The sequence below is a fragment of the Homo sapiens genome, chromosome 5 (assembly GCF_000001405.40).
Source record: "Homo sapiens chromosome 5, GRCh38.p14 Primary Assembly".
NCBI classification, from domain to species: Eukaryota; Metazoa; Chordata; class Mammalia; order Primates; family Hominidae; genus Homo; species Homo sapiens.
Window position 1 is genome coordinate 116,022,707 of NC_000005.10, and position 9,726 is coordinate 116,032,432.

General features: G+C 38.4%; 1 protein-coding gene across 8 annotated transcripts in view, besides 1 other annotated feature; it reads left to right on the forward strand.

Annotated features, from left to right (window-relative positions):
- Positions 1–4,900, forward strand: part of LVRN (laeverin) — a 65,132-nt gene extending 60,232 nt beyond the window's left edge. For all 8 annotated transcript variants that reach the window (NM_173800.5, XM_047416915.1, XM_047416913.1 and 5 more), the window contains one exon: positions 3,272–4,900. In NM_173800.5, coding sequence (NP_776161.3) covers positions 3,272–3,412 — 141 coding nt within the window. In that variant the 3' untranslated portion in view covers positions 3,413–4,900. The remainder of the gene's footprint in view (positions 1–3,271) is intronic.
- Positions 9,361–9,410: an enhancer, noted in NCBI's record as "active region_22942". NCBI's record gives its function as "activates an Ori minimal core promoter by ATAC-STARR-seq in GM12878 lymphoblastoid cells {active_cell/tissue: GM12878}" and the evidence as "EXISTENCE:reporter gene assay evidence [ECO:0000049][PMID:35858748]".

Sequence of the window (9,726 nt, forward strand, 5' to 3'; positions counted from 1 at the left end):
AGGGTTCCCGTCCCAGACCGGGCTTCCCTCCATCCCACCTTTGCCATCACTGCCAGTCATTGCCCTGTTCCAGAGCTTCAGTAGCTTTTCATAGCTTTTCAAAGCAATTTTGAAATATTGTGATTAGCACATGAGGCCCTTAATGATCTGGCCCCTGCCTTAGTTTGGCTTCATTTTTGCTCACCTCACCACTAAGTGTCAGAGAGCAAGAGAGACGGACAGACACCCCTAAACACATTTCCTCTAGTTATACTGTACCACTTACAAATTTTCTTGAATTATTGCATTGCTTCACATTTTCTGGATTTCAGAAACACTCTACCTTCTGTCTGGAGAACACTCCTCATTCCTGTTCCTGGCTGGATAATTCCTAATCATCCTTTAAGATCCTGCTCCTATTACCTATTCTAGGAACTTTTTAATGAACTGATTTATACCCCCTCCTCGCCTATGCTTTCAGGTCATCCTGTGAATATATTTTTACCACAGTGCTTCCTACATTATAGTGTAATCACTGGTAAATATGTCTACCCCATGAGGCTATAATGAGCTCCCTGAGGACTGAGATAATATCTTAGTTTTGTCTATTCTAGGTTCCTACCATTTCCTGGCTTTTCTTTCCTCTAGGCTGAATTTTTATTAGGCAGTCTTTTTCCTTGTGGAGAGAAGCATAGCTCCCCACTTATATAATCCTCAGCACTCTCAGTTGCAGAAGGAAGGATACTTTCTCACAGCTTCAAGAGTTCCTGCCCCGAAAAAAAGCACTTTGATTGGTCCTACTTGGGTCAGATGTACCAATCACTGTGTCCAGGGAAGATGGAATACTCTAATTGGTCTAACCAGGGTCCTGTGGCCACACTAGGAGACAGCCCCACCCAAGTCACTGGCACTGGGAAGGGGAAGGGGTAGTTCTGGAAGGAAAAAGGGCTGTAACCAGAAAGTAAACAAAGCAGGCAAAAGCAAATGTCTACAAAAAGATACATTCACACAAAGTAAAACAAGAATACAATATAAATACAACCTCTACACACCCAGTAGCATAGGTAAAATTAGAAAGATTTATGGTACCAAATGGTGGCAAAGATAGGGAGCAACTGGAACTCTTTTATCCTACTGGGAGGAATGTAACATGGCACAAGCACATCAGAAAACAGGCAGTTTTTTGAAATGTTAACTGGAAACCATCTAAATGCCCACCCATAGGTAAAAGAATAAGGAAAAGTAATATATCCACATAATGGAATACTATACTGAAATTTTTAAAATTTGTGTAGCAACATGGATGAATATCAAGGTGATTATGTTTAGTAAAAGAAAGCAGTCACATTCTGGGTAATGCAAATGGATCTATAGTGACAAAGGGCAGATCAGTGGTTTCCTGGGACAGAGAGAGATGGACTGCAAGGACCCTTTTTTGGGTAGAAGAAATGTACTTGATCGTGTATATGGTTTCAAAGGGGTACACAGTGGTCAAAATTCATTGACTTTTACAGTTTAAGTAGATCTAGTTTATTGTACATAAATTAAATCCCGATAAAATTGATTAAAATTAAACACCAGGGCCTGAAACTATGTTAATAAGAACAAGAAGAGCCTTTGTAAATAAAGGTAAATCAACTCTCCCTAGGCAAATAAACAAATACATATGTGGGTCATAAAGGCCTGAAATATGATCCTAAGCAAAAAAAAAGGACAAGTAGACAGTGATATCATTGTTATCATGAGAGAAGGAGAACTGCTAATTCCCGAAGAAATTCTCTTTTTTTGAGTTTTGGCCTGCCTAAGGCTGAGCTGTCAGGATCTGATTTATCAGGTATTCCCTGGACAAGGGAAAGAAAAGCACATTACACCCAGAACATGCTGGTACAAAAGCTCCGCGAATCAAGACTCAGTGTGTGTTTCTGTCTTCTAAAATTCGTTAGTTCAATCTTTGCCTCTACTGAATCCAGTGAAGTTTTGTTGTTAATGAATGAATAAATGAGGTTCGTATAAATTTAGCAATCTTTGAAGTTTCAAAACTCTAGTCACTCACAGCTTTTCGAAATTGTAAAAATGGATTTAGCAGTAAATTATTGCAATTTAAAAAAATATATGAATTAGCTAAGATGACTATCCTTGTCAACAACATCTTAAGGTCCAGCGGTCCTGCTATGCTGCATCAGTTCACAGGATAGTATCTAAAATAAATAATAAAAAAGAAAGTGAAAATGAAGTCATTTGTCTCCCTCGTCCCTCTCCAAAGGCACAATTTTCAAACACCTTCTGCATCTCTGGCTCTGGTTTTTATATTCCCCCTCCTAGACATACTCTCAAGCACACGTGAAGCCCACCTACAATCCCAAACACCACCACCACTCCCCTCCCACCACTACAGGAGCCCAATCCTGGGCACACTATCCGTGATGTGGAGTTGTGGGCTGTTGGTTACCACCTCCCGGCAGGTGTGAGAAGGGAAGGAAAGAGTGGGGGAGGATTGTTCCTGGCTCTTTAACTTACTTGTCCCTAAAACATTTCTTTTACATTGTAATTAGGCTTGATAGCACTATTACTGTGCAATTTCGAGTATATTAGGGTTGAAGTGAGCTGTTGTGAGCTGGAATGGGCATTTTCATCTTATGGCTATAAGCGTTCGGAGTTCTAATCCACTGATACAAAAAGAGACTCGGTAAAATGAAAATTGAAAAAACTTATAACTTATTTATATTTTGGAATATAACTTATTATTCACTTGGAGTCTGACTTATACATAATATTGCAACAAATGTTCTGATAACTGAATGCTTGGCCTGACCCAATGAGGTAATTCAGCCAATGTACAAATTCATTATCTAAGTATTCTAAAATAAAGAATGACATTTGTAAAACTGCAAATATTATGTACCAATTTTGAGCTTCGGAAGTTGCAGTTTCTTTTGAGATTTTTAAAAAATTGGGGGGGTTCACTGTATCTCTGTCTGCAAATCTTAGAGAACACTCTATATGCGTTCAGTAAATATTCATTGAGACTCAATATGTGCTTTGGGAATAAGGCATAGTTTCTGCTTCATGCACCTTCCTGTCTACATCTGCTTCTTTGGGGTAGGTGTGGTGTTCATCACATTGTCTCAGTCACAGTCTCCCCAGGGACACACAACCTAGGAGTATACATTTCTACTCATTCCAACCATCATCACCAATTTACAAACTCATGTTGCTACTTAGCATTTAGACATTTACTTTGTCCAAATGGGAAGTTGGATTGCACTGATCATCTGTCTCTCTGTCCTTCCAGCTGCAGCAGTTTTTCAGTAACATGTTGGAGGAACACCAGAGGATCAGAGTTCATGCCAACTTACAGACAATAAAGAATGAAAATCTGAAAAACAAGAAGCTAAGTGCCAGGATAGCTGCGTGGCTAAGGAGAAACACATAGCTTGTGGCTATCTTTCAGCACTCCTCTTGCATATTATAATGTAGTTTGTTCACAGTTTTGTCTTCCAATACTTTGTGAGTCTGGAAAACCACACATTTTATTTGTATTTCAGTCACATTTATTACTCAGAGTGCCATTCTTCTCATATTGTCATGTTTGGCCCTGAGGGTGGGTGATTGCTGACAATTTTGCCAATGCTGCTGTATTTCTGGGAAAGATGTCACTTCATGTTGGGTTATAATCCCACAGAATTTACTTTAAATGTCACGTAAAAACAAATTCACCTAAGATAGTCTTGCTTATTTTGTTGCGAAGGCCAGTGGAATATAAAAATCAATGGCATTAATGAGGAGCACATTCTTTGCTGAGGGAAATAACAGTTTTTCCAGGCCCTAGGGTTTATTTAGTTCAACATTGAAGATTGAAAAGACTAATGAGAAGATAACATGACAATATAAAAAGACAGAAACTCAAAAAGTATATTCACTAGAAGACAGTGGAGCCAAAGAAAAGCAAGTTGAAAAAGAAAGAGGAGACAATTTAACGAGCCCTAAAGGCAAGAAGTGTGTCTTCTCCTGCCCATTTCTCTCTCCCACAGTACATCCTGCATTGAACCACGTGTTGCTGGTTACTAAACTTTATGGTGTCACAAAAAGACAAATGATTGTAGGATCCATGGAAGTGCACTTAGGCTTGCTGTGGTGGAGGCCATAGTGGAGATGAAGGCTCTGCTCTGAAGCTCTTAATTGTGTATTCACCAGTGGGATGGACACCCTTTCAGCCTAAGCGTACGAGTGAAAACAATGATGTCAAAAGACAATAGCAAGTATAGGCTACTATTTAGGGCAAAAGGAATCTTGAAATGAAAGAAACAGAACTAAAAGGCTAACTGGAGCATAATCCTTACAGTTTTGCACTCAGGGGATTAAGTTTGAAACATAGTGTCTTTTGGCCAAATTGAACCTACTTGTAATGTGGACCAACTTACTTTACACATTTTCATCAGTCCCAATGTATGGAATTAGCTTAGTTTTCTCATGCTTGATTAAAACAAGACAACTAAAGCTAATCATTCCTCTTCTAGACTTTGTGTATATGATTTAATCTTTTATTTTTATTTTTGTAGAATGGGGGTAAAACTACAAATCTCCTCCTCAGGGTGATATTTTTAAAGATTAAGGAGTATGACATCAATTAACAGTCTTTAAAGATGTTACATACGCTCAAAGCAATGTGATTAAGACTTTTTGCCTATTTCTTGTATAAGTTAAGGCAGCCATAAATGAAAATACAAAACAAACGTTTGCTTTTGTATTTGATTCACAAGAGGATTCTCCCTGAGTGTCAGGGGAGGCTGTGGGACTTCACCACGTGGACAAACGAAAGCACAGGCTACTCAGACTTGGCCACAGGTCATAGGTCAGAGAATTTTTTCTTCAAATGTAGAAATGTAAATTTTCAGCAATAAAATATCTGCATGCCTACAAAGTGTTGTAGCTGAGATACCTTCCTGTTTTTTTTCTTAAACACTCATTCTATATTTCCCATATTTCCTCTGATAATGAATCTCATCTTTCAATAACTTTGTCTTCACTTGTCCTCTCAACTGCTTTTCTCTTCCTCTTCTTCTTCTGTGTCTTAGTCCATTTTGTGCTGCTGTCATAGAATACCTTAGACTGGGTAATTTATGAAGAACAGAGATGAGTTTCTTACCATTCTGAAGGCTGGAGATTCCAAGGTCGAGGGGCCTGCATCTCACTAGGGCCTTCCTGCTGTATCATCCCATGGTACAAGGCAAGAGGGCAAGAGAAAGAAGAGGGAAGAGGACTGAACTCATCTTTTTTATCAGGAACCCTCTCCCAAGACAACTAGCCAACTCCCATGATAACAGCACTAATCTATTCATGAAGGCAGAACCTTCATGACCTAATCACCTCTTAAAAGTCCCACCTCTCAACATTGCATTGAGGATTAAGTTTCCAACACATGACCTTGGAGGGACACATTCAAGCCATACATAGCTCTCTCCTCTGTTTCCACTCCCGTTCTTTCTCTATCAAGCTGCCTCTTCCCTTCTCCCCTTTTCTCCTTTCTCCTCTTTCCAGTAATCTCTGCCTTACTTCTGCCTGGTTGTTCTTATCCTTGCTCCTTGATCTTCCTACCCAACCATGCTCTCAGTCCACCAAGCGTGCTTTGAGGCTGACACTCAGTGTCAAGAAGGCTCTGATGCCTGGTATTGGGTGATGCCAAGAACTACTGATCTTGCCAAAAGAGCATGTAGGCTGGTCTCTCCAGACTGTTAAAAGTTAAACTGAATCCTATTACATCTTAGCTTCTGTAGTAATTAAATAGTGCTGAAGGCGTTTCTCCAAAATCAAATTCCCAAATATTTAATTAATAGTCTTTCCTCTAAATATGGGGAAAAAATGGATGATATACCATTTTTACTTACTTGGATGAAGCTGGCTACTTAAGCACTGCATTTTATTATGCTTTACCTTATACAAACTATAAAAACAAGTAATTGTTGATTGGTTTCTGTGATAGCAATAATGCAGTAACAAGTCAGGGAGTGGTACCGAGGCTGATTTTCTGTGTGGCATAAATACTTTATTAACCAATAAAAACAGCTTATCTGTTAGCACCCCAACTATAAAATGATTTCCCTGACCCAGTCCATTTATTGTATACCTTTCATCTTGAAAATAATTAACAAAATATACAATATAGTCATGATTTTTTCCAATTTCATAATTCGAAATTAAATTTTTTCTCACAATCTTATGCTTTTTTTTTTTGCCCAACCCCATTCAGTGACTTGCCATTGTTGATTTTAAATGGAAGAACAGATGTCTTAGTGTGATGTTCAGCATTTTTTGTAATTTAGATCCCTGGGACCAATCTGTATAGCAATTTATTCTGGGGAAGGCATGAAGAAGCAAAGTGAGATGAGATTTAAAAGGTAGCTCGTCTTAGTTACTTTTCCTGTTTAATCCATTCTTTGCTCCAATAAAAGCTGTCTTTTTCTCATCCAAACTCTAGCAGGATTACCATGTTCAAAGCAAAGCCTTAGGGGATGCTTACAAGTAAATATAACTGCCTCCCCCACACAAAGAATGATTTAGCACAGTTAGCAGCATTTGAAACCATACATATGTTGCCTTTGGCTCATTCTTCTAATTCAACAAGATTTAGCAAAGGTAATCTGTACAACACATATATTTAGGAGTTATTTGGACTCTTCCTCTTCCCTTCCCTTCATAAATAAGTCAGTCCTAGAGGTGAAATAGAGCAAGGTGGCATCTGAACCAGTGGGAATTGAGGGGGAGCCATGGTGGCCCATGACCTGAAGTGGGCTTAAGAGTTTGAATGGGGTGAAGAAAGAATCCACACAGAGGAGGGGAGATCACAGTGGGATATCAGAACCCAGACAGGGTGAATAAGGTTACCACACGGTGGCGAAGGGAGTTATGACACGGTGACTTAGAGCCCAGATAGGGTGAGAAGAGTATCTAATGGGGGTTGTGTAACCCAGAATGGGTAGTTGAAGTCTTTGTGGGGTAAAGAGGATGCCCATATGTTGGAAGGTGGCCTAGTATGAGGTATCAGAGCCTGGGGAGGGTAAGAAGGGAATCCATATGGGGAAGGACAGAGGCAGATATAGGAGGTGGGTTACCACAGGGTTATGGGTCAAACAAGAAAATATATCCATAATAGGATCCAGGCTTCTCACTGTTGGAGAAGGGAGTTACAGATACTCGAAGGGAACAAGAATGAACTGTTCTGGTATGGAATTGGAAGTATTTGTATGGACTCATGGTTTTCAATATATAGATAGATTTATAAGTATCTGTAAAGTATGTAATAAATAGCTGTAATATGTGTAGATATATTTTGCTCTTTATCTGTATATACATAGATACAGATATATTTTTTTGCCATTACTTTTAGTGGCAAAAACCAGAATTACTTTTGCACCAACCTAATATAGCTATATCTACATCATCTCTATCTCTATTTATATAGAGATAGAGAAAGAGTAAAAGTAATGGCAAAACCTGCAATTACTTTTGCACCAACCTAATGGATTTAGACTCTAGCTTCCCTCCTGAGAGACAGTAGCAGCAGTAACACCTAGTTATGGACTGAATGTATCCCCCAACAATTCATATGTTGAAGCTCTAACCCCCAAGGTAATAGTATTTGGAGGTGAGGACTTTGGGAGGTATTTAGGTTTAGATGAGGTCTTAAGGTTGGAGCCCACATGATGTGATAAGTGCCCTTACAAGAAGAGGAAGAGACACCAGAGCATTCTCTCACCCTCCGTGTGCATGCACCAAAAATGGCATGTGAACACAGAGAGAGGAGGCGGCTGCCTACAAGCCAGGAGGAGTGCTCTCACCAGGAACCGAAGCTGTCGGCACCTTGATACTGGACCTTCCAGCCTCCAGAACTGTGAGAAATAAATGTCTACTGCTTAAACCACCCAGTCTATGGTATATTGTTATGGCAGCTCAAACTAAGACAACCCTAATAATGAGCACAGCTATTGCCCATATCTTGGCTTCTAGATGCCATTCTCCACTAAAGAACCCAAAGTTCCTTGAAGAAATGGCTGATTTCAGGGCCAGGACAGGAAGGGAAAGGGGCAATTAAAAGTGGAACATCTTTTGAAGCAAAAAGCAAGGAAGTACTAAAAAAATAATTGGGACATACCAAATGGGCACAAAAGCCAGCTTGAAGAGAACCCCACTGGCCAAATGTGGGAAAATTTGAGAATCATAATAATAAAGGCAATAAGGGAATAAAATAAGAAATCATGAGCTAAATAACAATTAAAATTTTGATGAGGAAGGGTATTTACATAATTTCAAAGTACTTTCCCACAAAGTACAGTTGAATAATGAAGGCAAAATGAGTAATTTACAGTGGAAAAGCCTGGCAGATGTCACCTTCATCAAGTGATGAATTCCAATGATATTCCATTGCAGTGGAATAAATAGAAATTTTATTCCATTTAATAAGATGAAATGACAAACTACATTGTTACTCTTGTTATACTTCTAACAAAACTGCATAACATGAATCTAATAATGAAGAAAAAACAAACTGAGGGACATGTCACAAAAATAATATCCAAGTCTCAAGGTCATGAAAGTCAAGGAAAGACAGAGGATCTGTTCTAGACTGAAGGAGCTTAGAGACATGACAACTGAATGTAGTGTGTGGTCCTGAACTGGTTCCTTTCGCCATAAAAGACTAACATTACTGGGACAATTGGCAAAACTTGGGTGGAGTCTGAAGATTAGATGCTATCATTGTTAATTTCTCAACTTTGATGGCTTGTTGTATTTATGTAGAAAATATTTTGGTTGTAAGAAATATACATGAAGGAGTGAAGCAGTAACCTATTGATTCAGGAAAAAAAATATTTTTATAGTAACTCCAGCTTTTCTGTAAGTTTCTGAATAAATTAAACTTAAGATAAATAAAGTTTATCATCTATTTGTTACTGGAACTGCAATGCACTTTCATTTCAAGTCACTTTTTTCTTTCAAATTTGGTAATGGCCACAGCCACAATCCTGAAGTTATCTACTAAGCATTTTAATAATTATGCCCAAGTTGGAAATTCAAGTTGTCCGAAAAGACTTAATTTCTTGTTTCAGTCAACGCTTCCCATCTTCAACCAGAGGAACTAAAAACTAAAAATTTTAAAATGTGTTACTCTAAATTAACAAAGCTATATAAATGAAAAATAAATGTAAGTCATTACACTTTTAAATAAAACTTGTTTGAAACTTTTATATAAAAGTCTGTAGTGTTTATACTTCTAAAAATATTAAATCTTACAATTTCACTAAGCCTTTTGGGAAGACTTTTACATATACATGGGTGAATCATGTAACTTGAAATTATTATGCTAACAACTTGACTTAGTCCATGTTACAGTTATAGCTAATAATATTTTACCATTTTGTATAATCAGTACACGTCTAGATGTATAGTAAAGTAGTCTTCCCTTAGCTGCAGTTTCATTTTCCACAGTTTCAGTTACTCGGGGTCAACTATAGTTCAAAAATATTACATCACTACCCTGTGTTTTGGGGCCACTATTAAGTACAATAAGGGTCACTTGAACACAAGCACTGCAATACTGCAACAGTTGCTCTAATCGCCAAGGTGACTACGTGGTGACTCATTGCCATCCAGTGGGCCGAAGCAGGAGGGCAAGAGATTTCATCGCACCACTCAGAACAGTGCACAGTTTGAAACTTAAGAGTTGTTTATTTCTGGAATTTTCCATCTACGTCA